Source organism: Homo sapiens, chromosome 19, assembly GCF_000001405.40.
Source record: "Homo sapiens chromosome 19, GRCh38.p14 Primary Assembly".
Lineage (NCBI taxonomy): Eukaryota > Metazoa > Chordata > Mammalia > Primates > Hominidae > Homo > Homo sapiens.
This window is the reverse complement of record NC_000019.10, coordinates 17,969,475-17,997,295: the sequence shown is the minus strand read 5'-3', so window position 1 is coordinate 17,997,295 and position 27,821 is coordinate 17,969,475. Positions and strand designations below refer to the sequence as shown.

Sequence of the window (27,821 nt, the reverse complement as noted above, 5' to 3'; positions counted from 1 at the left end):
CTAGGAAGAAGAGGAGGGGGGACCCTGTTCAGTCGTGAACTGCCACCCCTCCCATTAGGCTGGGGAGGGGACAGGGGTCTAATGACGAAGGTGACTGCCCTGAGAATCTGACGCAATCACAGACTGGGAACACGACAGCCACAATTACTGTTACAGCAGCCAGTGGGGCATCCCTACCACCTCAACTGCCCGGTTCTGGCACTGTCCCCCTATGGGCAGGGGAGGCCGGCCAGGCAGGGACAGTCCTGGGTGCAGACACCACTCTGGCCACCAGGTGGCACTAGAACATCACTCCACGGCTCTGAGCGCAGCTGGGTCAGGACACCGGTTTGCCACCCCGCGGCGGCCTCCGTGGGAGGATGGAGGCAGTGGTGGAAGGAAGACAGGACAGGACGAGGTGCCCACCCCAGCTCCTCTGTCCTCTCACACCCAGCCTCTTCCTCCCAGCTTCCTCCACTGTGCCCCCTACCCTTTTCCCTCCATCAGTGCAAGGCAGACCCCACTCCGAGTGCAAACACCTTGTGGGGGCCTCCCCTCCTAGCACCACTGACCTTACCCTGGCCTCTCTCAGGCACCACAGTCCCTAGAGCCAGAGGGTGACATCTGGAGGCCAGAGCAGTGTCCAGCCTTCAGGTGGTTCTTTTTAGTCTTTTCTGAGGTTTAAAATTTTTATTTTTATTTTTATTTTTGAGACGAAGTCTCGCTCTTGTTGTCTAGGCTGGAGTGCAGAGGCATGATCTCGGCTCACTGCAACCTCCACCTCCTGGGTTCAAGCGACTCTCCTGCCTCAGCCTCCCAAGTAGCTGAGATTACAGGTGCCCGCTACCACACCCGGCTAATTTTTGTATTTTTAGTGGAGACAAAGTTTCACCATGTTGGCCAGGCTGGTCTTGAACTCCTGGCCTCAGGTGATCCGCCCACCTTTGCCTCCCAAGGTGCTGGGATTACAGGGATGAGCCACTACACCCAGGCTTAAAATTTTATTTTTTAGAGACAGAGTCTTGCTCTGTCTCCCAGACTGGAGTGCAGTGGTACAGTCACAGCTGACTGCAGCTTTTACCTCCCAGGCTCAAGTGATCCTCCCACCTCAGCCTCCTGCTAATTTTTCTATTTTTTTTTTTTTTTTTTTGTAGCAATGGAGTTTTGCCATGTTGCCCAGGCTGGTCTTGAATTCCTGAGCTCAAGTGATCCCCCCTCCTCAACTTCCCAAAGTGCTAGGATTACAGGCATGAGCCACTGCATCTGGCCTGATTTTCTTAATATTTTCCTTTCTCTACCATACCTTACTGTAAGAATACAGTATATATACACAAAATATATGTGAATCAACTGTTTATCAGTAAGGCTTTTGGTCAATGGTAGGCTATCAGTAGTTAAATTTGGGGTGAGGGGGCGTCAAAACTTATATGAGGCCGGGCACAGTGGCTTATGCCTGTAATCCCAGCACTTTGGGAGGCCAAGGCAGGTGGATTACTTGAAGTCAGGAGTTCGAGACCAGCCTGGCCAACATGGTGAAACCCCATCTCTACTAAAAATACAAAAAGTAGCTAGGCGTGGCGGCATACACCTGTAATCCTAGCTACTCAGGAGGCTGAGGCAGGAGAATACCTTAAACCTAGGAGATGGAGGCTGCAGTGAGCTGAGATCGCACCTCTGCACTCCAGCCTGGGCAACAGAGTGAGACTCTGTCTCAAAAAGAAAAAAAGAAGTTATATGGGAATATTTGACTTTTAAGGGGTCAGCACCCCATAACCCCCATGTTCGAGAGTTAACTGTATATCTTCAGGGGTCTAGAATATGTTTTTCTCTCTGTAAGATTCTTTTCTGGGTGCGGTGGCTCACGCCTGTAATCCCAGCACTTTGGGAGGCCAAGGCGGGAGGATCACTTGAGCTCAGGAGTTTGAGACCAGCCTGGGCAACATGGTGAAACCCCATCTCTACAAAAAATACAAAAATTAGCAGGACCTGGTGGTGTGCGCCTGTAGTCCCAGCTACTCAAGAGGATGAGTTGGGGGGATTGCTTGAGCCTGGGGAGGTTGAGGCTGCGGTGAGCCATGATTTTGCCACTGCACTCCAGCCTGTACCACAGAGCAAGACCCTGTCTCAGAAAAAAAAAAAAAAGAAGATTCCCTTCCAAATTAAATTTCTTGTAGGTTAATATTAAGCTAGATTGCATTCTCTTCCTAGTGATGGAGGAAGTGAGTCCAAAATGCACTGGGGACAAGAAATAAAATAGAATGGGACTTAACATTTTCTAAAGATAACATGAAATTAGCCTCAAGCTGACTGATAGATCAGGGGATGTAGCCACTGAGCAAAAGCTATTTTCTGAAACTATGTCATTGGTCAGAAGGGAATTCAAATCAGTGTTGCAAAGATCTCAAGCACTTGATTAATTGCAACTGGTCCAGTGACACATCTTCCAGTGGAAGAATTCAAAAAGTGGGAAATGGGCTGGGCACGGTGGCCCACGCCTGTAATCCCAACACTTTGGGAGGCTGAGGGGGGTGGATCACTTAAGGTCAGGAGTTCGAGACCAGGCTGGCCAACATGGCGAAACCCCGTCTCTACTAAAAGTACAAAAATTAGCCGGGCATGCTGGTGCATGCCTGTAATCCCAGCTACTCTGGAGGCTGAAGCACGAGAATTGCTTGAACCCGGGAGGCGGAAGTTGCAGTGAGCTGAGATCACGCCACTGCACTCCAGCCTGGGTGACAGAGCAAGACTCTGTCTCAAAAAATAAATAAATAAAGCTAAAAAAAAAAGTGGGAGATGACTTGATATTCGAATCAACACACAGATCCATGTATAACACAAACTGATTTCTTTCTTGCTTTTTTTTTTTTTTTGAGACAGGGTCTCGCTCTGTTGCCCAGGCTAGAGTGCAGCAGAGTGATCATACCTCACAGCAGCCTTGACCTCCTGGGCTCAAGTGATTCTCCCGCCTCAGCCTCCCTAATAGCTGGGACTACAGGCACTCACCACCATGCCTGGTTAATTTTTTTATTCTTTTTGTACAGATGGGGTCTCTCTGTGCTGCCCAGGCTGGTCTCAACCTCTTGGGCTCAAGTGATCTGCCTGCCTCAGCCTCCCAAAGTACAGGGATTATAGGCATGACCCATTGAACCCAGCTGGCCCCAATTTCTCTTGCAATCAATTTAAATTTCCTGACAGATGTTTAATTGCTATACAAATTATACAAAGCTTTCTCCCAAGGCTATCATTTGAATTTATACCCATAGCAAAGGAATTTTTTCTCTTCCATTTCAGATCTTGAATTGAGGTGGTATGCCTAAATCTAGAAATACCTCTTCACCCATTTAGCCCCCTAATTGTGTACTCTTTTTAAATTTTTAAATTATTTTTAAAATTATTATCATTTTTTTGAGACAGGGTGTCACTCTGTCACCCAGGCTGGACTGCAGTGGTGCCATCTCGGCTCACTGCAGCCTCAACCCCCCAAGTTCAAGCGATTCTCCTCCCTCAGCCCCCAAGTAGCTGGGATTAAAGGCGCCCGCCACCACGCCTGGCTAATTGTTGTATTTTTTTTGTAGAGACGGGATTTCACCATGTTGCCCAGGCTGGTCTCAAACTCCTGAGCTCAAGCGATCCGCCCGCCACTGCACTCAGCCCACAGCGGGTCCTTGTGCCCTCCTCCGGCAGGAGCTGAGCCCCATCCCATCTGCTCCGGGGCCCCACCTGCCCTGTCTGGCCCACCCTGCCCCAACCCACTCACCTTGGCTAGGTCGGTAAGCGTGTTAGCCTGGTCGTTCAGCTTCCCTTGCTCGATCTTCACACTCCGGAGCCTGTGGGGACACGGGGTTGGGGGAGGGGGTTAGGCAGGTTCCCGTGGAGGCTGCAGTGGGGGCAGGGACTTTCATGCACCCACCCGGGGTCACCTATGGGACATGCATCAGAGGATGAGGTGGGAGTTGGGAGGCCGATTCCCTGTAGTCTATTCCCTCCCAGTACACAGCCGGTGCGCCAGGGCCAGAAGTCAGCCTGGCCACCGCCCACACCACCCATTGGCTGGTCCTGTCTCCGGCCCAACTCAGGACTGCCCCAGGAAGTTGGATCCCAGACCAAGGTGAAGCCTGCACGGATCCATGGGGCAGATGTGAACCCTGCCCGCCTCTGAGGCTGGGGTTGGCATGCCCCGGGTGTACCCCCTGTCTGTGACCACCATGCACCCCCGATTTCCCAGCCCCACCAAGCCCCTGGGAGAACACTTACTTCTGAGCCCTGGCAGGACCGGGCAGAGCAGGAGAAAAATCACAAGGCAATTTTAACCTCAGCACAGTTGTTCGGCATGTACCCAACCCTGCCCACCTCCCGGGGATGCCACCCTAGGGCCCCGCGCGGGGTTCCCAGATGGCCGAGGGGCTGCCGTTGCTCTGGGGAGGTGCCCAGCCTCTGAGGGTTCTGTGCCAGCCCCTCAGGGGCACACCTGTCCTCTCACCACCACCGGAGGCGGTGTTTCATTCAGAAAACTATGCCGACACCATCTCCTGAGGGGGAAACTGAGGCTCAGAGGGGTAAAGCCACTGCCCATCCGCACCCCGGCAGGATTTGAACCCACACTTGCTACTTGGTGTTGGTGTTGGCACTGGTGACCCTGGTCTCTGGACAGCTGGCCGCAGGGGGAGTTGGTTAGTGTATGCCCTCGCCCCTTTTGACCATCCCTTTGTTTTTTTTGAGACGGAGTCTCACTCTGTCACCCAGGCGGGAGTGCAGTGGCATGGTCTCAGCTCACTGCAACCTCCACTTCCCCGGTTCAAGCGATTCTCCTGGCTCAGCCTTCTGAGTAGCTGGAATTACAAGCGCTCACCAGCACACCTGGTTTAATTTTTGTATTTTTAGTAGAGATGGGGTTTCACCATGTTGGTCAGGCTGGTCTCGAACTCCTGACCTCATGTGATCCGCCCGTCTCAGCCTCCAAAAGGATTACAGGCATGAGCCACTGCACCTGCTGGCACTCCCTTCTGTACCTAAGCCAGTCCAGGGGACTGTCTCAAAGTGATCTTGGCTCATTGCAACTTCAGCTTCCCAGGTTCACGTGATTCTCCTGCCTCAGCCTTCCGAGTAGCTGGGACTACAGGCATGTGCCACCACGCTCAGCTAATTTTTTTGTATTTTTAGTAGAGATGGGGTTTCACCATGTTGGTCAGGCTGGTCTTGAACTCCTGACCTCAAATGATCCACCCATCTCGGCCTCCCAAAGTGCTGGGATTACAAGTGTGAGCCACCGCGCCCAGCCTTTTGTACTTTTTTCTAATGTGGCTGTTAGCAAATTTAAAATTATATATGTTGCTCACGTGATATTCTAGTGGACAGCATTGTCGTCAGCATATTATGGCCTGTGGGTCAAATCTAGCCGGCCGCCTGTCTTGGAAAATAAGGTTTCTTTGGAACATGGCCACACCAGGTTATCCTCACTGCTTCCCTGCCTCAGCAGCAGAGAGTTGAAGAGTGGGACAGAAACGGTCTGGCCCATAAAACCTGAAAGATTTACCATCTGGCCCTTTACAGAAAAAGTTTGCTGACTGGCTGCATATTGGACTCAACTGAGGAAATTTTATTTATTTACTTATTTTAATATATTTTATTTTTGATTTTTTGAGACTGAGTCTTACTCTGTCGCCCAGGCTGGAGTGCAGTGGTGCGATCTCAGCTCAGTACAACCTACAGGCACGTGCCACCATGCCCGGCTAATTTTTATATTTTTAGTAGAGACAAGGTTTCGCCATGTTGGCCAGGCTGACATCAGGGGATCCACCTGCCTCGGCCTCTCAAAGTGCTGGGATTACAGGCGTGAGCCACTGCACCCAGCCATATATAGTTTTTTAAGGCAAGGCCTTGCTCTGTGGCCCAGGCTGGAGTGCAGTGGCGCAATCACAGCTCGCTGCAACCTTGACCTTCTGGGCTCAAGTTATCCTCCCACCTCAACCTCCTGGGTAGCTGGGACCATAGACACATGCCACCACACTGGGCTAATTTTTTTATTTTTGTAGAGACGGGGTCTCACTTTGTTGCCCAGGCTGGTTGCAAACTCCTGGCCTCAAGCGATCCTCCTGGCTCAGCCTCCCAAAGTGCTGGGATTACGAGGTGTGAGTCACCACGCCTCGCTTTATTTTTTAATTTTTACATAGAGTGGGGTCTCACTATGTTTCCCAGGCTGGTTTCCAAATCTTGGCCTCAATCAGTCTTCCCTCCTTGGCCTCCCAAAGTGCAGGGATTATAAGTGTGAGCCACCATGCCCAACCAAGCAGTCATTTGAGGAATTTAAATGTAAACCCAGACTGCAACCCAGACTCTACTAAGTAACTGATGTTGGATGTGGCTCTTGGGATTTTTAAAAAGCCCCCTGGTGACTTCAATGAGCAGCCAAGGATTTAGAGCTACTTTATTAAATAGTTCTCAGGGCAAAGAAACAACATAGGGAATCAAGCAATTTCTTTCTTCTTTTTTTTCTTTTTCTTTCTTTTTTTTTTTTTTTGAGACAGAGTCTCACTCTGTCGCCCAGGCTGGAGTGCAGCGGCGCAATCTCAGCTTACTGCGAGCTCCGCCTCCTGGGTTCATGCCATTCTCCTGCCTCAGCCTCCCGAGTAGCTGGGACTACAGGCGTCCGCCACCACGCCCGGCTAATTTTTTGTATTTTTAGTAGAGACGAGGTTTCACTGTGTTAGCCAGGATGGTCTTGATCTCCTGACCTCGTGATCCACCCACCTCGGCCTCCCAAAGTGCTGGGATTACAGGCGTGAGCCACCGCGCCCGGCCTTTTTTTTCTTTTTCTTTTCTTTCTTTTTTTTTTTTTGAGACAAGGTCTCACTTTGTAACCCAGCTGAGTGCAGTGGCGCAATCATGGCTCACTGCAGCCTTGACCCTGCAGACTCAAGTGATCCTTCCACCTCAGCCTCCCGAGTATCTGGGACCACAGAGGCACACCACCACACCCAGTTAAGTTCTTAGTTTTTGTAGAGATGGGGTCTCCCTGTATTGCCACGGATGGTGTTGAACTCCTGGACTCAAGCGATCTTCCTGCCTCCCAAAGTGCTGGGATTACAGGCATGAGCCACCGCACCTGGCCCAATTCATTTCTAGTTATCCTACATGATCCCATGGATCAGACCATGGATTTAACTATGAGCCTCCTGGCAGACAAAGCAAAAAGAGGAAATCGCTTCAAAGTCTAAAGGGTAAGAATTATCCTGGTTATTCCAGAGAATAAAATATACATCCTGCCACTTACTGAGTCGTGTCCATGATTTAGCAGACCCCATCATCTGCCTCCCTCTGAAGATCCTCCCATCCACCCAGCTCAGAAGATGCAGGCCCCAACCAACTGACCACCCGTCCCTGGCAGGGAGCCGTGAAGAGGCCACACAGAGCTGCGAGGGCTGCCTCCGCGCCATGTGGACACAGAAACGTGAGCTGGAAAGGTGCTGGACTTACTGATGGATGGCTTGGAGGAACTTACGCTGGTGTTTCCGAACCCGGGCTTGGTCTGGCTTCTTCACCAGCCTGGTATGTTTGTAGATGAGCCACGTCTCCCTGAGAACGTTAGCAGCGGCGTTTTTTACCTGGGGCCAGAAAAAGAACAATTCCTCAGGGTTGGCGCGAAATTCCAAAAGGCTCCAGAAATGTCTAGAATCTTCCAGAAACCTCTAGAAACTTCTGGAAATGCCTCTCAGGGTCCCTGGGCTATAAGGCAGGGCCATGCTTGTACAACAACATCTGTGCAGTGTGTGTATACCTAACACACATCACTCATGATGGGCCAGGCCCCTTCTATGCACCATGCAAATGTTTTTAATGTTTTTTGTTTGTTTGTTTGTTTGTTTGTTTTTTGAGGCTCTGTGGCCCAGACTGGAATGCAGTGGCATGATCTTGCCTCACTGCGACCTCCACCTCTCAGGTTCAAGTGATTCTTCTGCCTCACTCTCCCTAGTAGCTGGGATTACAGGCGCCTGCGATCACGCTCAGCTAATTTTTGTATTTTTACTAGAGATGGGGTTTCATCACGTTGGCCAGGCTGGTTTTGAACTCCTGACCTCAAGTGATCCGCCCGCCTCGGCCTCCTAAAGTGCTGGGATTACAGGCGTGAGCCACCGCGCCCGGCCATGATGCAGATGTTAACTCAGTGAATCGGCATGTGTTTTTATTTCCCTGATTTTCTATATGGGGAAGCTGAGGTACAGAGCAGTCAACCCGCTAGGGTCAGGCAGCTCTCAAATTGCATATGGCGGTCTGGCTCAAGCCTCTTACTGAATGCTCATGGCTGGACGTGACTGGGCACAAGGGTTGATGCCACGATGTCTCTCTGTGCATTACTCACAGATGGGTGCGTGGTGGCAGAGCCAAGCACAGTCCTTTTTTTTTTTTTTTTAAACGGAGTCTTGCTCTGTCACCCAGGTTCGAGTGCAGTGGTGCCATCTTGGCTTATTGCAGCCTCTGCTTCCCAGGCTCAAGCGATTCTCCTGCCTCAGACTCCCAAGTGGATGGGACTACAGGCGTCCGTCACCATGCCAGGCTAATTTTTGTATTTTTAGTAGAGATGGGATTTTGCCATGTTGGCCAGGCTGGTCTCGAACTCCTGGCCTTAGGTGATCCACCTGCCTTGGCCTCCCAAAGCCAGCACAGTCTTGACACGGGGCTGCATGGTAACCCATGGGCACATGAGCATGCCCGGCACGTACAGAGGGAAAGCAGGGAAGTTCTACGCTCGCTGACAAGGCCAGGAGGCGGCCTCCATGGGAACCGCGGTCCTCACCCGCTTGGTGAGCTGAGTGTCCATCATGAAGTTGTGCACGTGCTTCTCAGCCTTGGTGAGCTCCAGCTTCCGAGCCACCACAGCCACCACGAGCGCGGTACAGCCAGCTCCCTGTGTGCAGGGCAGAGGGGGCACATCAGCGTCCTGTCTTGAGGTCACTCCCTCCTCCAGGAAGCCTGCCCAGATTGCAGCCTCCCCATTCTCTGAGCCAGCAGTGTGAGTGGATTCCATCTGCTGAGCTCACTGACTTCAGGTCTACTCGTTTCCTATTCATCAAATGTCAGAGGGAACCATGTCCCACACATTAGCTCATTCGACCCCCAACAACTCCAGGAGGTAGGACGATTCTTTTTTTTTTTTTTTTTTTTTTTGAGATGGAGTCTCGCTCTGTCGCCCAGGCTGGAGTGCAGTGGCACAATCTCAGCTGACTGCAACCTCCACTTCCCAGGTTCAAGCGATTCTCCTGCCTCAGCCTCCTGAGTAGCTGGAACTAGAAGCGTGCACCACCACATCCCGCTAATTGTGTGTGTGTGTGTGTGTGTTTGTTTAGTAAAGGGGGGGTTTCACCATGTTGGTCAGGCTGGTCTCGAACTCCTGACAGGTGATCCACCCGCCTTGGCCTCCCAAAGTGCTGGGAGTACAGGTGTAAGCCACTGCGCCTGGCCCTGTTTTTTTTTTTTTTTTTTTTTGGTAGCGATATGGGGTCTCACTATGTTGCCCAGGCTGGTCTCGGACACCTGGCCTCAAATGATCCACCCACCTCGGCCTCCCAAAGTGCTGGGATTACAGGCATGAGCCATTACCATGCCCAGCCCCAGGCAGGTTTAGATGCCAACACCCTGAGCCTGAGCAGGGTTGGCCTAGAGCACAAGCAGGGGCTCCCGGAGGAAACCCTGTCTCGGTTTCCAGGCCAGGACAAAGGTTTTGAGAGGACCCAGAAGCCTGTTCTCAGGAAAATCCCTGTCAACTGGGACAGAGTGACTTGCTGGAAACCTCCACCTAGAATACTAGACAGCAAGGAAAAGGAATGGACAACGGCTCTGCAACAGCATGATGCACCACACAGATGCTACAGGGAGGGACCCATGCTGGGCTGCCAGCAAAAAAGCAGACACGGACCAGGTGCAGTGGCTTGCACCTGTAATCCCAGCACTTTGGGAGGCCAAGGTGGGTGGATCACCTGAGGTCAAGAGTTCGAGACCAGCCTGGTCGACATGGTGAAACCCTGTCTGTACTAAAAATACAAAAATTAGCTGGGCCTGGTGGCAGGTGCCTGCCATCCCAGCTACTCAGGAGGCTGAAGCAGGAGAATCGCTTGAACCTGGGAGGGGAAGGTTGCAGTGAGCTGAGATCACGCCACTGCATTCCAGCCTGGGCGACAGAGCGAGACTCTATCTCAAAAAAAAAAAAGAAAAAAAGGGCCAGCGTGGTGGCGTCATGCCTGTAATCCCAGCACCTTGGGAGGCTGAGGCAGGTGGATTATCTGAGGTTGGGAGTTCAAGACCAGACTGGCCAGCATGATGAAACCCTGTCTATACTAAAAATAGAAAAATTAGCCGAGCCTGGTGGCAGGCGCCTGTAATTCCAGCTACTCAGGAAGCTGAGGCAGGAGAATGGCTTGAACCCGGGAGGCGGAGGTTGCAGTGAGCTGGGATCGTGCCGTTGCACTCCAGGCTGGGCAACAGAGTGAGACTCCATCTCAATGAGGAAAAAAACAAAGTCAGGCATGGGCCAGGTGCAGTTGCTTAGGCCTGTAACTCCAGCACCTTGGGAGGCCCAAGCAGGAGGATCACTTGAGCCCAGGAGTTCATGACCAGCCTGGGCAACATAGTGAGACCCCATCTTTATAAAAACATAAAAATAAAACATGGAAAAGCGTTTGTTGGCATGGGCATAAAACATGTCTGGAGAGAAAGAAGGCTCTGGAAAGAGGGGATGGACAGGGACCCCGATGACTGAATTAGGGAAAAGAGAAAGCAGTGAGTGTGAAAGGATGTTCACAGGCACCCACGGCAGACTTGAGAATCCTTCGGGGAGACGGGGTGCTGCCTGCGCCCACTGTCACGAAAAACTCAGGGAACACCCCGAAAGTCAGCTAAGGAAGGGAGTTTGGGCTGCAGAGGACACAGCCCAGCAGGTTTCTTTTTTCTTTTTTTTTTTTTTGAGACTTAGTTCACTCTGGTTGCCCAGGCTGGAGTGCAATGACGTGATCTCCGCTCACCACAACCTCTGCCTCCTGGGTTCAAGCAATTCTCATGCCTCAGCCTCCCTAGTAGCTGGGATTACAGGCACCCACCACCACGCCCGGCTAATTTTGTATTTTTAGTACAGACTGGGTCTCACCACGTTGGCCAGGCTGGTCTTGAACTCCTGACCTCGTGATCCACCCGCCTTGGCCTCCCAAAGTACTGGGATTACAGGTGTGAGCCACCACTCCCGGCTATTTTTGTATTTTTAGTAGAGACAGGGTTTCTCCATGTTGGTCACAGGCTGATCTCAAACTCCCAACCTCAGGTGATCTGCCCACCTTGGCCTCCCAAAGTGCTGGGATTACAGGCATGAGCCACCACGCCCGGCCCCCAGCAGGTAGTTATAGCATGTCCATGGCATTCACAGTTCTGGGATTCTCACATAAATAACCGACTTAGCCCTTGCAAAGCAGAGGAAGTAGCGCTGGTCACAGCTGAGGAAACTAAGGCACATCAGCATCAAGCCCCTTGCCCTGGATCCAAAGGCTGTGAATAAATCAGGCTGTAGAGAATAAAGGGGTGACAGTGACTCTCTGGTCAGAGTGGACCGCAGCTTCTTACTGGGCAGGCATGGTGGGAGCTGCATATCTAGGCCTGGAAGGACCGCATGGAGATGTCCCAGGAAGCCTGTGGGTGTGGCTTCCACGTGACGTCAGAGGAAAAGAGCAGAGCAGGGGAGGGGTGGACTGACAGATGGAGGGACGCTGATCAGGCACAGCTCGTGATGGGATGAGCACCCTGTCAGCAAGGGGTATGCAAGGGCTGGTGGAGCGGGCAGCTGGCTGGACCTCCCAGGATCATACACATGGACCCTCACCCTTACCATGATGCCAGTGAGCAGGCACACACCCTTCCCGCAGTAGGTGTGGGGCACCATGTCGCCGTAGCCAATGGAGAGGAAGGTGATGGAAATCAGCCACATGGCCCCCAGGAAGTTGCTGGTCACTTCCTGCTTGTCGTGGTACCTGGGGGAGCCAGAGTGGGAAGAGGGAGGGCTCAGTCTATACCATCCCCTTTGCCTCCATCACACCCCCTGGGGCAGCGCCAGGGCTGGAGGGCCCTGAGTCCACCTCGCTGCGTTGGGGCTATGTCCTGTGGGTACAGGACAGGCGCACCCTCTCCCCCGCTACAGCCCTTCCACATTCCCTTTGCCTGCCCCCCCAAGCTGCTTCCCTGGATGGGGCAGAGAGGGGCCCAGGTGAGGTTGTATGAACATACAATCCCCCTCCCAACGACAGACACACACAGACAGGGGGATGGGTGACCACAGCACCAGAAGCAGCAGGAGGTGGAGGCAAGAATTCAGGACAGACACCAGGAAGAACTTTCTCAGCCAGCAAGGCCCCAAGGAGGGAGGAGGACTGGAGGAGGTGGGAGGCTGGAGGATCACCACCTGGGGCTCGAGTGAAGAAGGGACGTCCATATAGGAAGGACATAGACTGGAGGACAGCATGAGTCCCCCAACTCAGCCTATGTTGCATCTGGGGGTTGGGAAGAGAGGGGCATCGGCTTTGGCACTGGGGAGATGCCTGGGGCTATATTTGGGACCCAGGGAGACAGGCCCCAAGACTGACAGAACTTAGTCCTGGTCACAGCCAGGCTTGGGACTTCGGCCAGAGGGGCTGCAAAGAGGTTCTGCCTGTGGCCATGCTAGCGGGCCGAGGGCTTGGCTCTCTGGGTCTGGGGGTGGCTCTAGGATCTGTTCCCACTCAGCTCTCAGTCCCCAAATCCCCTTGGCCTTTTTCTGGAGACTGGGCCCCCTCTGACCTGGCTTCCAGCTAACCCACTCCTTCCCAGGGCTTAGATCACCTGAGCCCCAAGCCAGCCTCTGGGGTGTTCAAGGTCAGAGGCCAACTGGGGTAGCACCGAGGAAGTGGCCTGGATAGAGCAGGATCTTCAGGGGAGGCCTGTGCCAGGCACAGTGGGTGACACAGCCCAAGGATAGGGCTGGGGTCAGGCTCCAGAGGGAAGGAGATGGGGGCTCCCCAAATATTGGCATTTGGGGGTCTTCACTCCCGCGGAAGTCGAATGCCACTCCAGGCACCTCCAGTCTGGGCTTCTAGGACACTTGCTGGGTAAAGGCCCAGGGACTGACCCTATCTTTTTTTTTTTTTGAGACAATATCTCTCTCTGTTGCCCAGGCTGGAGTGTAGTGGCATGATCTTGGCTCACTGCAACCTACACCTCCCGGGTTCAAGCGATTCTCCTGCTTCAGCCTCCCGAGTAGCTGGGACTACACGCGCCCGCCACCATGCCCATCTAATTTTTTTTTTTTGTATTTTTAGTAGAGACAGGGTTTCACCATGTTAGCCAGGATGGTCTCAATCTCCTGACCTGGTAATCCACCCGCCTCGGCCTCCCAAAGTGCTGGGATTACAGGCATGAGCCACGGTGCCCAGCTGACTGACCCCCATCTTACACCAAAACATCTGAGCCCCAAGCTGCCTGACCCCCAGAGGGCAGGAGGGGCGGGGGGGTGCCCTCTAGTCGGTGGGTGGGTGAGCCCCAGATCCAGACGGAGCGATGGTGGGGGGTGCCGCGGGACCACCCAGGAGCACGGCTGGGGGACATGCGGGAGGCGGGGGTGGGTCAGAGCGAGGCAGGCAAGGGGGCTTCAAGCATTGTCGCCAGGCTCAGAATTTAGGATTGGCTGCCTGCCGGCCCTGCCCCGTGCCCCACCCCCCCAGAGCCCTGCAAGGACCCAGCTTGGACCTCAGGGATACCTGACGAGGGGCACCCCATACCCCTAACCCTAGTTCTGACCCCACCCATCAGGGGTGTGAGAGCTGCATGGGGGAACATCAAGAGCCCAAGGAGAGCCCTGGAAGCCTTAACAGCCAGAGAAACTGGGCCTTTCATCCCTGAGAGCCAGGCCTCATGCCCAGGCAGGGCCCGTGGGAGTATGGGGGGTGGGGGCTGGGTGGAGGGATGAGGATGGGGTGCTGAGGGCAAGCAGGGGTCCAGCCAGGGACCCCTCCAGGGCCTCCACCAGCTAGGCGCATGGCAGGGAGACCCTCTCCCAGATAAGGCACCCTCACACCCCAGGCCTGGCGGAGCCCCTCCTGCCTCTGAGACTGCCAGGACTCAAGGCTCCGGGCAAGTCCCTTTGTCCCCCAGAGCCTCAGTTTCCCTCTCTGTAAATCGGGTTGATGGTCCACCACCTCCTAGGGGTATTTACAACAGACTCCCTCCTGCTTGGAGGTCCCAAAGGCACGGCCGGTTTTCCTTCATCCCAGACCCATTTATTTGTCTTTTTTTTTTTTGACTGGAGTGCAGTGGCGCAATCTCAGCTCACTGCAACCTCCGCGTCCCAGGTTCAAGCGATTCTCCTGCCTCAGGCTCCCGAGTAGCTGGGATCACAGGCACCACCACCGCACCTAGCCCACCCCAGATCCATTTAAGTCTTGGGAGGAAACATCGGAGCTCCCAGGGGTCAGCTGCCCAAACACAACATGAGAGCCAAGCCCTTCCTTAATCCCTCACCCTTCGGACACAAGGGCCCTGAGGCTCGGAGAGGACGCCCAGTGGAGTGGCCTGCCCCCGTGACGGGGTGACTTACCCCGACCCACCCCGCCGGGCCCGTTCTCCCTGCCTCCCTCCCCTTGCGGCAGCTAATCTTAAATTCCTAGCGGGTCGGGGATGGCGGCAGCGGTGGCAGTGGCTGCTCTGCGCACACAGCTCAGCGGAGGGTGGGACTCACATGTTTTCCCTAAAGTCCAGTGGAGCGGGCAGAGGGGAAAATGAAAGCTGGTTAAACGTGGGAGATGGGAGACAGAGGGGACGGGGAGGCATCCCTGTGCCTGCTGCCTGCGCCCCCCGGGGCCAGAGATCGGGAGTCAGCCTCCCAGGGAGCCGAGGGGCTGGGAGAAGGAAGCTTGGGAGACCCTGGCAGGGAGGATGAGGGAGAGGGAGCTGGGGTCCCTCCCTGGTTGAGGGCAGCTGGGGACACAGGGTTAGGTCCCCAGGGAGGATGATTACTGAAGCCACAAACTGGAAGACAGGAGGCACCACGGGTGTCTTGCAGTCGGGGAGACAGAAGCAATGGCCAGGGTCGGGAGGGGCCCAGGGTCGGTGAAATCATGAATGGGCATGGAGGTCCAGGGAGACGGGGGCTGGGGGCTGGGGGGGCTCCAGGGGCGGCGGTCGCACCTCTCGCAGACGCGCACGGTCCAGGCTGCGATGATCCAGGAGGAGATGCTGAAGACCAGCAGCACGGTGCCGGGGCAGATGGTCATGAGTGTCTTCATGACGAAGCGCGTGTTGAAGGTGATCTTGTTGAGGGCCCCGATGCTGCGGCTCGAGGCGTCCGTGAAGATTTTGCTGTGCAGTAGCATCACCCGGCCCAGCAGGTAGAGGCGCAGGAACATGGGGATGGACAGCAGCACGTCCACGTCGGCCTCGGCCACCGAGGGCGCGTACGTGAAGGCCAGCCGCGCCGTCCACGTGAAGCGGTAGTGGCCGGGCACCGGGTGAATGGCGCACACTGCCAGCTCTAGCGAGATGAGGAACACGCGCTCGCAGGTCATGGCGATGCGCCAGTCATCAGCCCCGTTGTCCACCATGAACAGCTGTGGAGGGCGGGAGGGAACCAGCCATGGGTGTCAGACACGCGCCGCGCTCCCTGCCCAGCCCCACCGCGCCCCCAGAGAGTGACGTCAGCCTGGCCTGAAACCCCACAGGCTCGGATTTTTCTTTCTTTCTTTCTTTCTTTTTTTTTTTTTTTTGAGATGGAGTTTTGCTCTTATCGCCCAGGCTGGAGTGCAGTGGCACGATCTCTGCTCACTGCAATCTCCGCCTCCTGGGTGAAAGCAATTCTCTTGCCTCAGCCTCCGGAGTAGCTGGAATTACAGGCTTGCCCCACCACACCTGGCTAATTTTTGTATTTTTAGTAGAGATGGGGTTTCATCATGTTGGCCAGGCTAGTCTCGAATTCCTGACCTCAGGTGATCTGCCCACCTCGGCCTCCCAAAGTGCAGGGATTACAGGCGTAAGCCACCATGCCCAGCCTCTTTTCTTTCTTTTTCTTTTTCTTGAGACAGGGTCTCACTCTGTCGCACAGGCTGTAGTGCAGTGGCGCAATCCTGGTTCACTTGGCTCATGCACCATGAAGACGATCTTGGCAACCTCTGCCTCCCGGGTTCAAGCAATTCTCCTGCCTCAGCCTCCCGAGTAGCTGGGATTACAGGTGCCTGCCACCATGCCTGGCTAATTTTTGTATTTTTAGTAGATACGGGGTTTCACCATGTTGGCCAGGCTGGTCTCAAACTCCTGACTTCAAGTGATCCACATGCCTCGGCCTCCCAAAGTGCTGGGATTACACGTGTGAGCCACTGTGCCTGGCGAGGATTTTTCTTTTCTTTTTCCTTTTTTTGGAGACAAGGTCTTGCTCTGTGCCCGGGCTGGAGTGCAGTGGTGCAATCACAGCTCACTGCAGTCTTGACCTCCTGGGCTCAAGTGATCCTCCTGCCTCAGTCTCCTCCTGAGGAGCTGGGATTACAGGCATGCAACACCATGCCTGGCTAATTTTTTAAATTTCCTGTAGAGATGGGGTCTCCCTATTTTGCCCAGGCTGGTCTAAAACTCCTGGCCTCAAGTGTCCTCCTGCCTCAGCCTCCCAGAGTGCTGGAATCACAGGTGTGAGCAACCGCACCAGCTTCAAATTTTTCCAAGAGAAGTCAGAAACGTGACCTCGTATGCAAAACTCTCTAGTTCTCAGCACTGGCCACAGTTCGAACGAAATATGAGTGTTCCCCAAAAAGTTCAACATAGAGTTACTAATGACCCAGCAATCCCACTCCTAGACAGACTCAAGAGAAACTAAAACAAGTGTTTAAGCAAACGCTTGGACAGACACATTCACAACGGCACTATTCACAACCTCCAAAAGTGGAAACAGAATGGGTGCAGTGGCTCCTGCCTGTAATCCCAGTGCTTTGGGAGGCAGGAGGACTGCTTGAGGCCAGCAGTTTGAGACCAGCCCAGGCAACATGGCAAAACCCCGTCTCTACTAAAAATACAAAAAAAAAAAAAAAAAAAAAAAAAAAAAAATTAGCTAGGTGTGGTGGCGGGTGCCTGTAATCTCAGCCTTGAGAGGCTGACGCACAAGAATCATTTGAACCTGGGAGGCAGAGGTTGCAGTGAGCCAAGATTGCGCCACTGCACTCCAGCCTGGGCAACAGAGTGAGACTCTTGTCTCGATAAAAAAAAAAAAAGAAAGAAAAAGAAAAAGAAAATTAATGCAGAGATGGGGACTCGCTCTGTTGCCCAGGCTGGCTTTGAACTCCTGGGCTCCAGCAGTCCTCCCTCCTCAGCCTCCCAAAGTGCTGAGATTCCAGGTGTGGGTGCCCAGCCCTTCACTGTACTTTTCTCTTCCTTCTGAACGTGTGTATAACTCTTAAGTATCTTTTTTTTTCCTTTTTCACGTGTCATTTTAAAAATAAGAAGCAATAAAGTCATTCTAAAATAAGAAAAAGAAAAAAAAGTCACTTCCTTAAAATGTGGCGGCCGCGCGTTCTAGGGGCCTCCTCCGCTCGCACATCGGCAAAGCGTTGACATAAAGGACACCCTACAGCGCCATTGCTCACCCTCCATGGGGTACCCTGGCCATATCCAGGGCCAGTCCTAGGGGAGATGAGGGGAGCGCCAAGATACATAACATCTGTCAGTTACGGAGCCGGGACCAATCATATTGGAGCTGGAGGCAAAAGGTATCATCAGGAATGCAGCCACGCCCCCTCCCCCACCCCCCACCCTATTTTTGAGACCGGGTCCTGCTCTGGCGGGATCATAGCTTACTGCTTACTGGAGCCTCTAACTCCTTCCTTTTTTTTTTTTTTTTTTTTTTGAGACGGAGTCTCGCTCCATTGCCCAGGCTGGAGTGCAGTGACGCGATCTCGGCTCACTGCAAGCTCCTACTCCCGGGTTCACGCCATTCTCCTGCCTCAGCCTCCCGAGTAGCTGGGACTACAGGCGCCCGCCACCACGCCTGGCTAATGTTTTGTATTTTTAGTAGAGACGGGGTTTCACCGTGTTAGCCAGGATGGTCTCCATCTCCTGACCTCGTGATCCGCCCACCTCGGCCTCCCAAAGTGCTGGGATTACAGTCGTGAGCCCGGCCTTTTTTTTTTTTTTTTTTTAAGAGGAAGGGGTCTTGCTATGTTACTGTCCATACTGCCTCCATTTTGTTGTTTGTTTGTTTTGTTTTGTTTTTTGTTTTGAGAGGGAGTCTCATTCTGTCCCCCAGGCTGGTGTGCAGTGGCGCCATCATGGCTCACTGCAGCCTTGACCTCCCTGGGCTCAGGTGATCCTCCCACCTCAACCTCCCAAGTAGCTGGAACTACAGATGTGTACCACCATGCCTGGCTAACTGTTTAAAAAATTTTTGTGTAGAGACGGTGTTTCGCCACGTTGCCCAGGCTGATCTCGAACTCCTGTGCTCGAGTGATCCTCCTGCCTCGGCCTTCCAAAGTATTGGGATTACAGGCGTGAGTCACTGTGTCCAGCCTGAATTACAGTTAAAAAAAAAAGCCGGGTCTGTGGCTCACACCTATAATCCCAACACTTTAGGAGGCTGAGGCAGGAGGATCACTCTAGCCCAGGAGTTTGAGACCAGCCTGGGCAACATAGGAAAATCCTGTCTTTATATATGTATGGTTTTATATATCTGTATATATAAGGTTTTACATTTAGCTGGGCATGGCGGTCTGTGCCTGTGGTCCCAGCTACTTGGAAGGCTGAGGCAGGACTCCTTGATCCCAGGAGGTACAAGCTGCAGTGAACTCTGACTGCACCACTGTACTCCAGCCTGGGCGACAGAACGAGATCCTGTGTTTAAAAAAAAAAAAAAAAAAAACAGGCTGGGCAGTGGCTCATGCCTGTAATCCCAGCACTTTGGAAGGCCGAGGCGGGTGGAACACGAGGTCAGGAGTTCAAGACCAGCCTGGCCAACATGGTGAAACCCCATCTCTACGAAAAATACAAAAATTGGCCAGGTGTGGTGGCAGGTACCTGTAATCCCAGCTACTCAGGAGGCTGAGGCAGGAGAATGACTTGAACCCAGGAGGCGGAGGTTGCAATGAGCTGAGATTGCACCACTGTACTCCAGCCTGGGTGACAGAGCAAGACGCCATCTCAAAAAAAAAAAAAAAAAACAAGTATACATATATGAAATTCACAAACCGTATAATTCTCCCATTTAAAGTGCACAATTCAGTGGGATTTAGTACACCTCTTCTATCTAATTTCAGAACACTTCCATCACCCCAAAAGGGAGCCCTGTCCCCATTAGCAGTCGCTCCTTTCCCAGCCCCCGGCAACCACTAATCTCCTTTCTGTCTCTGCGGATTTGCATCTTCTGAAAATTTCACATAAATGGAAGCATGCAATTTGTGGCCTTTTATGTCTGGGTTCTTCTGCTGAGCGTCGTATTTCTGAGGTTCATCCATGTTCAGTATCAGAAATTGTTATAGGTTGATTTGTGTTCTGCTGAAAAAGATATGTTGGCATCCTGACCTCTAGTACCTCTGAATGTGCTCTTATATGGAGATAAGGTCTTTATAGAGGTCATCTCGTTAAATGAGGTCATTGTAACGAGGTCGGCTAGTTAAAATGAAGTTAAGCTGGAATCAGGCCAGGCATAGTGGCTCACGCCTGAAATCTCAGCACTTTGGGAGGCTGAAGTGGGAGGATCGCTTCAGCCCAGGAGTTCAAGACCAGCCTGGCCAACATGGTAAGACCCCCTTTCTACAAAAAAAGCAAAAAATTTAAAAATTAGCTGGGCATGGTGGCAAGTGCTTGTAATCCCAGCTACCTGGGGGCTGAGGTGGGAGGACTGTGTAAGCCCAGGATGTCGAGGCTGCAGTGATCTGTGATCAAGCCACGGCATTCCAGTGTGGGTGACAGAGTGAAACTCTGTCTCAAAAAAAAAAAAGTGGAATCATCTAATTGCAGTGGGCCCTAATCCAATAATGACTGGTGTTCTTATTTTAAAAAGGGGAAATTTGGACACAGACACTCTCAAAGGGAGAACATCATGTGATCCTCAAGGCAGAGATTGGAGTGACACATCTCCTAAGCTGAGAACCCCCAAAATTGCCAGCAGCAACCAAAAGCTAGGAGAGAGGCCTGGGACGGATTGTCTCTCATGGCTCTCAGAAGGAACCAACCCTGCTAACGCCTTGATCTCAGACTTCTATACTCCAGACTTTCAGACAATACATTTCTGCTGTTTTGGTGTTTCGTTCTTTTGTTAAGGTTGAATAGGCCAGGCATGGTGGCTCACGCTTGTAATCCCAGCACTTTGGGAGGCCAAGGTGGGAGGATCACCCTGAGGTCAGGAGTTCGAGACCAGCCTGGCCAATATGGTGAAACCCCATCTGTACTAAAAATACAAAAATTAGCCAGGCGTGGTGGCGGGCACCTGTAATCCCAGCCACTCAGGAGACTGAGGCAGGAGAATCACTTGAACCTGGGAGGCGGAGGTTGCAGTGAGCCAAGATCGCGCCACTGCACTCCAGCCTGGGCAACAGAGTGAGACTCCATCTCAAAAAAAAAAAGGTTATGCTGGGCGCGGTGGCTCACACCTGTAATCCCAGCACCTTGGGAGGCCGAGGCGGGCAGATCACCTGAGGTTGGGAGTTCGAGACCACCCTGACCAACATGGAGAAACCCCGTCTCTACTAAAAATACAAAATTAGCTGGGTGTGGTGGCACATGCCTGTAATCCCAGCTGCTCGGGAGGCTGAAGCAGGAGAATTGCTTGAACCCAGGAGGCGTAGGTTGCGGTGAGCTGGAGATCGTGCCATTGCACTCCAGCCTGGACAACAACAGTGAAACTCCGTCTCAAAAAAAAAAAAAGGTTGAATAATTGTCCATTGTACAGGTGCACTACATTTTATTTATCCATTCATGCCTGGATGGACATTTGGATGTTGTTTCTGCTTTTTGGCTACTTTGTATTTTTGTTTTTTTGAGACGGAGTCTTGCTCTGTTGCCCAGGCTGGAGTGCAATGGTTCGATCTCAGCTCCACTGCAACCTCTGCCTCCCAGGTTCAAGTGATTCTCCCGCCTCAGCCTCCCAAATAGCTGGGATTACGTGCACCCGATATCATGCCTGGCTAATTTTTGTAGAGATGGAGTTTCACCACGTTGACCAAGCTGGTCTTGAACTCCTGACCCCAAGTGATCCACCCGCCTTGGCCTCCCAAAGTGCTGGGATCACAGGTGTGATTTTTGGCTACTTTGAACAGTGCTGTTATCAACATGCGTGTGCAGCCGGGCATGGTGGCTCATGCCTGTAAAGTCCCAACACTTTGGGAGGGTGAGGTGGGCCGATCACTTGAGCCCACGAGTTTGAGGCCAGCCTGGGCAATATGGCGAGACACTGACAAGACAATACAAAAATTAGCCAGGTGTGGTGGTGCGCAGCTGTAGTCCCAGCTACTCGGGAGGCTGTGGCAGGAAAATCTCTTGAACACAAGAGGTCAAAGCCATGACTGCATCACTGCACTCCAGCCTGGGCAACAGAGTGAGACCCTGTCTCAAAAACTAAACAAATAGGCCAGGAGCAGTGGCTGACACCTGTAATCCTAGCACTTTGGGAGGCTGAGACGGGTGGATCACTGGAGGTCAGGAGTTCGAGACCAGCCTGGCCAACATGGTGAAATCCCGTCTCTACTAGAAATACAAAAATTAGCAAGGTGTGGTGCCATGCGCCTGTAATCCCAGCTACTCGGGAGACTGAGGCAGAAGAATCGCTTGAACCCAGGAGGCAGAGGTTGCAGCGAGCCAATATCGCACCACTGCACTCCAGCCTGGAAACAACCCGTGTGTCCCAGAGTCCCAGCTCAGCCCCTCACTTTCTCACTACCTGTTCTTTTTTGTAAATAATCAATGAAAATTAAAACACAGATGTGTGTTTCAAGGAAATCTAGAATGATGGAAACTGTGTGTCTTTATGGAGATCTTTTTTCTATCAGAAGCCAATTATACATCCTTTTATGTTTTGAGGGGATGGGGTCTAAGGTGGGCTGGTGTGGGGGGATCTGGGGTTTGAGGAGAGGAGCTGCTTCCTGCAGTATTCAGCACTGACCTGGATCTCCCGGGCATGGTAGAGGACAACGAGACCCAGCAGGATGGCCGTGGAGAGGCTGATGAGGCATTTGAGTGCGAATGAGTACAGAGACTCCTGGTAAAGAGAGAGGACACAGCCAGATGGACGCTGGAGGCGGTGGGCCGGCGGCCCTCCCATCCCCTTACCCTGGCTCCCGGGCATGGGAGTCAGCTAAATGGGGCTCTTCCCAGTGGCTTCTCCCACTGTACCCTGAATTTCTGCTAGTTCCCCAGTCCTGGGGCTGCTGTGTGTGAAACAGCTTATCAGGGCTGGGCGTGCAGCATGTGCTGTATTCAGGAAGCGGTGCTCTCCTGTCCTTATTCCTGGGGACTGGGCTGACAGCAAGATGTGTCCAGTGCTTCACAGTTTATGAGGCCTGGCCTCACTTGGGCACAGCACTTCACAGTTCACAAGGCCGGACCTCATCCAGCCTCGGCACTTCAGAGTTTACAGGCTGACACAGCCCTGATCTCTCTCCATCCTCACACATTCTAGGTGGCATGAGGGAACCCACAGCCAGGCTTGTAACCTGGACGCACTCACTCTCGGAAGGGGAGGAAGATCTTCTGTTGCTCCCCAGAGCAGGCCCACTCTGGGGAACCCCTGTCCTGGGGGGAAGCCCCCCTCCGCCTTAAGCCAGGGTGCAGCCCCTTGACACCTGGCCAGGGAATGGGCTGGAACCTTCCTTCTCCATGTGTAGCCTCCCTGCTACCTTCCTGGAGGTGGGTATGCAGAAGGCCAGGGAGCCCTCACCTCCGGGAGCCCCCTAACACTCCCTATCTCCCGGGGGGCCCTGCCACCCCCAACCCCATGTCAAGAAAGCTAGGCGGGCTTGGTGGAACCTCCCTGGAGTGCCTGGGGGAGGACCACGCCTACCTTGGTGTACACCCCCCAGGACAGCTCGGTCTCCGTCACCATGACGACGATGCCAAACATGCCGAAAATGAGGGCATAGTCGCTGAGGCGCTTCCGCTTCTCGAAGAGCGCCCGCCGGTGGCCCAGGCGGTGGCCCACATTTGAGGGTTTCCCCGAGGCTCTCTGCCTGCCGGCCTCATCTTCCTCATCATCCTCGTCATCGTCCTGGTCCTGGGGCTGCCCCCGGGGGCTGCCGGGTGAGGGCCGGGCTGGCTCACTCTTGGCCACTACCACCTGGAGGCCCGGGCTGTGCGGGGGTTGTGGGGGGTGGCCGGCCTCAGGGTCCGGAGGGTCTCGTCCCAGGGCGCCCGGCCCGCTGCCCAGCGGCCGCCCCACGCTGCCATTGTAGCTGTGGCTGTTCATGACTACCTGGGTGCAGGGGTTGGGCTCGCTGCAGGCCGCCCGGGGCCCGGCATGGCTCAGCGGCTGGGCTCCTGCACTGACCTGCAAGGGCACAGAGGGACATGGTCACAGCAGGGTCCAGCTTACTGACCAGAAAGGCAAGGACCATCCCGGCCAACCCAGAACGTTCTAAGTTTGGGAGTGGCCCAGAGTGCTGACACGTGGGTTTACCATCCCAGAAACATCTGAGTCAGCCTGAATCCCTCCCCTGCTCAAAGCCCTGCCATGGCTCCCCAGTGCCATCTCACTGAAAAAATCAACCCCAGAGAGCCGGGCATGGTGGTGCAGCTCTGGTAATTGCAGCTACTTAGGAGGCCAAGGCAGAAGGACCGCTTGAGTTCAGGAGTTCGAAACTGGCCTGGCCAACATGGCGAAAACCAGTCTCTACTAAAAATACAAAAATTAGCCAGGCGTAGTGGTGCATGCCTGTAGTCCCAGCTGCGTGGGAGGCTGAGGCAGAAGAATCGCTTGAACCCAGGAAGCAGAGGCTGTAGTGAGCCAAGATCATGCCATTGCACTCCAGCCTGGGTGGCAGAGTGAGACTACGTCTCAAAAAAAAGAAAAAGAACAAAGAAACTCCAGAGCTGGGCCCAGTGGTGCACACTTGTAATCACAGCTACTCAGAGGCTGAGACTGGAGGATCACTTGAGTCTGGGGGTTTAAATCCAGCCTGGACAACATAACTAGAGCCGATCTCTAAAAAAAACAAAAACAAAAACAAATAAAACACCAAACTCTTCACTATGGCCAAGGGGCCCTCTGTATCTGGTTCCCACCTATCTCGTCCTTCTTACTCTCCCCAGACCCAATTCCTCCAGCCACAATGGTCTCCCAATCACCAGATTCCAACAAGTTCATCCTTCTCTGATACCTTGCACAGGCTGTGCCCTCTGCCTGGAATGCCCCCCTACCAGAGCCCTGCCTGCTGACTTTATGTGTATCCAAGCACCTAGAACAATGCCTAGCAAACAGATGACACTCAGGAAACACTTGCTGAACGCTGGAAGATGAAATCTACCAACGGGCTTGCCTGGGAGGAGAGGGTGGCTAATGGTATGCTTAGAAGGTGGTTTTCATCTGAGCTCATCCTCTTCCAACCTTCAGACTCTTGGATGAGTTAACCTCACCTCACCGTGCCTCCTGCATTTGTAGGCTCCTGCACTGTGGCCTATGGGACATTAGGGACCCTGGCTGTGGCTACAGAGATCCTGAGGCTCCCTCCTGCCTGGGCAGGAGGGGATCCATAATCTCCAAACAGATTCCAAACAGAATCCAAATGGTTTCCAGGAGGGGATCCATGATCTCCAAACAGTGTGGCAATGCAGGCTTTAACTCCAAGATCTAGAATCGATTCTGCAGGGCTTTGTAAGACATAAGACATGCTTGGCTGGGCTCTATGATCTCAGGCTAGCCTGTTTCCCTGCCAGGCTATTTGAAAAGCACCCTGTGTGATTACAGAGCAATGTCCTGTGGCATCATGTGTGAGAGCAGGGACCTCAATGATGGTGACATAGTCATCATGCTCACCAAGGCATTGAGAGGCTGTCTGAGACTCTGGATCCAACTTGTCAGATTCTCCCCTGCCCTGCCCAGCCCAGTATCTCAGACCCTCAAATGCACTCCTTGCCTGCTCTGTAGCCCAGGCTGGAGTGCAGTGGGGCAATCCTAGCTCACTGCAGCCTCGGACTCCTGGGCTCAAGCGATCCTCCCACCTCAGCCTCCCAAGCAGCAAGGACTACAGGTATGCGCCACCACCCCCAGCTAATGATTTATTTTTCCGAGATCAGATGAGATCGGGAGTGTTCAGGGTGGTATGGCCATAGATGATTTATTTTTATTTCTAGTAGAGATCAGGCCTTGCTACATTGCCCAGGCTGGTCTGGAACTCCTGGGCTCCAGTGATCCTTCCTCCTCGTCCTCCCAAAGTGTTGGGATTACAGGCATGAGCCACTGTGCCCGGTCCCAGGCTCCATTCTTTATGTAAATGTTCTCCTGAATCCTAATACTGCCAAGAAGTGGGTCCTGGGATTTGGCCAGTTTTACAGATGGGGAAACTGTGGCATGATGTTGTGAAAGAATCTGCCTGGGCCGGGCACGGTGGCTCACGCCTGGAATCCCAGCACTTTGGGAGGCCAAGGTGGGCAGATCATCTGAGGTCAGGAGTTCGAGACCAGCCTGACCAACATGGTGAAACCCCGTCTCTACTAAAAAGACAAAAAATTAGCTGGGCGTGGTGGCCCATGCCTGTAATCCCACCTACTCAGGAGGTTGAGACAGGAGAATCGCTTGAACCCGGGAGGCGGAGGTTGCAGTGAGCTGAGATCATGCCATTGCACTCCAGCCTGGGCAACAAGAGCAAAACTCCGTCTCAAAAAAAAAATAATAATAATACAAACCTGCCTGAAGACACACCTTCTCCTTGCAGGGAAGATTCCGGACCCGGCTCCTTTGTGAGATTTTCCCAACAAGCTGGGCAGGGGTGGGTGGAGGCCAAGTGTTATCCCCTTTGAAATGGTCACAACAGCATGCACTAGGGGTCCCCCATGTGCCAGGCCTGGGAGAAGGGTTGGGGGCAGCTGTGTGCACAGGCAGGACACTTCCCACCCCCACTGGGGGTGACAGACTAGCAGATCGTCATTCCAGGACACAGCAAGATGAGCCACATTGGCTGGGTGCAGTGGCTCACGCCTGTAATCCCAGCACTTTGGGAGGCTGAGGTGGGCAGATCACTTGAGGTCAGGAGTTTGAGGCCAGCCTGGCCAACATGGCGAAATCCTGTCTCTACTAAAACTACAAAAATTAGCCAGGTGTGGTGGTGGGCACCTGTAATCCCAGCTACTTGGGAGGCTGAGGCAGGAGAATAGCTTGAACTCGGGAGGTGGAGGCTGCAGTGAGCTGAGATCACGCCACTGCACTCCAGCCTGGGCAACAGAGTGAGACTCTGTCTCAAAAAAAAAAAAAAATGAGCTACACTGCTGAGTTGGACATGGGTGACTTTGGCTGCCGCACACATTGCAGGACCACCTATGCCTTTGTCCGGCACCCCCCACACTGTGTCTGTCCCTCACGATGTGTCTCCAGATACTGGTGTCAGCACACAGGAGTGCAAGAATTATTTCTTTGTGGCCGGGCGCGGTAGCTCATGCCTGTAATTCCAGCACTTTGGGAGGCTGAGGCGGGTAGATCACTTGAGGTCAGGAGTTCAAGACCAGCTTGGCCAACATGGCAAAACTGGCTGGGCGTGGTGGCTCACACCTGTAATCCCAGCACTCTGGGAGGCCAAGGTGGGTGGATCACCTGAAGTCAAGAGTTCAAGACCAGCCTGGCCAACATAGTGAAACCCTGTCTCTACTAAAAATACAAAATTAGCCGGGCGTGGTAGTGGGCACCTGTCATCCCAGCTACTTGGGAGGCTGAGGCACAAGAATCACTTGAACCCGGGAAGTGGAGGTTGCAGTGAGCTGAGATCATGCCACTGCATTCCAGCCTGGATAACAGAGTGAGACCCTGTCTCCAAAAAAAAAAAAAAAAAAAAAAAAAAAAAAAAAAAAAAAAAAAAATCATTCCTTCTATGGTCAGGTGACCTCATGAGTCTCAGAACTTGTCCCACCCCTTCCCACCCTCACCCATCACATCAATCAGGCTGTGGCTTCCTGTGACCAGGCACCTCACAGCTTGTAAGGCCTGACCTCCCGCAGGCCCAGCACTTCCCAGTTTATGAGACCTAGCCTCATGTGGCCTAGTACTTCCCAGTTTATCAGGCCTGACCTCCTGCCGGCCCAGCACTTCACAGTCTATAAGGCCTGGCCTTGTGGGCCCAGCATTTGACAGTTTATGAGGCTGACCTTGGCCCTGATCTTTCCGTAACCTCACAAATACTTAGGTGGGCCTTCTGCTCCGAGGCTCAAACCCCTGCCCACTGCCTGAACATCCGCTGGCTACCAGGTGGGGCTGGGAGCTTGCACTAGGGTGCACACAGGAACCCCAGATCCTGCCCTCCTCCAGGGGGCCCAGGAAAACCCAGGCACCCCTTCCACCATCCCCGAGGGTGCAAAACTTCCCCAGCTGGGGATGGGGGGCACAGGGATGAGAAGCGGGTGGCCTGGCAGACAGAACCCAGAGGGGGTGTAGGCCTCCGATGGCCTCTGCAAACGACCTTCCGAAACGCACCAATGAAGATGCAATTTGGGGATGTGACTCAGCCACCCGACGCATGGGCCAAATTCAGCCGTGTGTCTGCCATGTTCCTCCTCGCCTGGCAGCCGCGTCCTAAGGTGCCCTGGGCAGGGAGGGGGTGGGGAGGAGGAGAGAAATGGCAGGTGGCTTCCAAGAGGGTGGAGGGGTGGAGGGGTGGAGGGCTTTCCCGGCACCCACC

The 27,821-nt window shown here is 53.5% G+C and overlaps 1 protein-coding gene and 1 pseudogene across 8 annotated transcripts in view, besides 7 other annotated features; both read right to left on the bottom strand.

Moving 5' to 3' along the window:
- KCNN1 (potassium calcium-activated channel subfamily N member 1) overlaps positions 1-27,821 on the bottom strand; it is a 48,796-nt gene that overhangs the window by 2,790 nt on the left and 18,185 nt on the right. For 2 of the 8 annotated variants that reach the window (NM_001386976.1, NM_001386975.1), the window contains 9 exons: positions 23,006-23,488; positions 22,109-22,204; positions 15,169-15,587; positions 14,720-14,728; positions 11,843-11,984; positions 8,771-8,881; positions 7,453-7,580; positions 4,234-4,242; positions 3,737-3,806 (listed from right to left, as the gene is read on the bottom strand). In NM_001386976.1, the coding sequence (NP_001373905.1) occupies positions 3,737-3,806; positions 4,234-4,242; positions 7,453-7,580; positions 8,771-8,881; positions 11,843-11,984; positions 14,720-14,728; positions 15,169-15,587; positions 22,109-22,204; positions 23,006-23,407 (1,386 nt within the window). In that variant the 5' untranslated portion in view covers positions 23,408-23,488. The remainder of the gene's footprint in view (positions 1-3,736; positions 3,807-4,233; positions 4,243-7,452; positions 7,581-8,770; positions 8,882-11,842; positions 11,985-14,719; positions 14,729-15,168; positions 15,588-22,108; positions 22,205-23,005; positions 23,489-27,821) is intronic. The other 6 variants (NM_002248.5, NM_001386974.1, NR_170373.1 and 3 more) reach the window with 5 other exon arrangements.
- Positions 9-510: an enhancer, noted in NCBI's record as "H3K4me1 hESC enhancer chr19:18107595-18108096 (GRCh37/hg19 assembly coordinates)". NCBI's record gives its function as "activates a minimal SCP1, AML or CMV promoter by ChIP-STARR-seq in primed H9 embryonic stem cells {active_cell/tissue: H9 hESC(primed)}" and the evidence as "EXISTENCE:reporter gene assay evidence [ECO:0000049][PMID:30033119]".
- Positions 145-394: a silencer, noted in NCBI's record as "silent region_10366". NCBI's record gives its function as "represses an Ori minimal core promoter by ATAC-STARR-seq in GM12878 lymphoblastoid cells {active_cell/tissue: GM12878}" and the evidence as "EXISTENCE:reporter gene assay evidence [ECO:0000049][PMID:35858748]".
- Positions 5,682-5,976: a silencer, noted in NCBI's record as "tiled region #11250; K562 Repressive non-DNase unmatched - State 23:Low". NCBI's record gives its function as "represses a minimal TATA promoter and a strong SV40 promoter by Sharpr-MPRA in K562 cells {active_cell/tissue: K562}" and the evidence as "EXISTENCE:reporter gene assay evidence [ECO:0000049][PMID:27701403]".
- Positions 8,267-8,766: an enhancer, noted in NCBI's record as "H3K4me1 hESC enhancer chr19:18099339-18099838 (GRCh37/hg19 assembly coordinates)". NCBI's record gives its function as "activates a minimal SCP1, AML or CMV promoter by ChIP-STARR-seq in naive H9 embryonic stem cells {active_cell/tissue: H9 hESC(naive)}" and the evidence as "EXISTENCE:reporter gene assay evidence [ECO:0000049][PMID:30033119]".
- Positions 8,767-9,268: an enhancer, noted in NCBI's record as "H3K4me1 hESC enhancer chr19:18098837-18099338 (GRCh37/hg19 assembly coordinates)". NCBI's record gives its function as "activates a minimal SCP1, AML or CMV promoter by ChIP-STARR-seq in naive H9 embryonic stem cells {active_cell/tissue: H9 hESC(naive)}" and the evidence as "EXISTENCE:reporter gene assay evidence [ECO:0000049][PMID:30033119]".
- Positions 12,235-12,916: an enhancer, noted in NCBI's record as "H3K4me1 hESC enhancer chr19:18095189-18095870 (GRCh37/hg19 assembly coordinates)". NCBI's record gives its function as "activates a minimal SCP1, AML or CMV promoter by ChIP-STARR-seq in naive H9 embryonic stem cells {active_cell/tissue: H9 hESC(naive)}" and the evidence as "EXISTENCE:reporter gene assay evidence [ECO:0000049][PMID:30033119]".
- Positions 19,489-19,689: a silencer, noted in NCBI's record as "peak3399 fragment used in MPRA reporter construct". NCBI's record gives its function as "represses an SCP1 promoter by STARR-seq MPRAs in K562 erythroleukemia cells {active_cell/tissue: K562}" and the evidence as "EXISTENCE:reporter gene assay evidence [ECO:0000049][PMID:32103011]".
- Positions 25,179-25,271, bottom strand: RNA5SP468 (RNA, 5S ribosomal pseudogene 468; annotated as a pseudogene).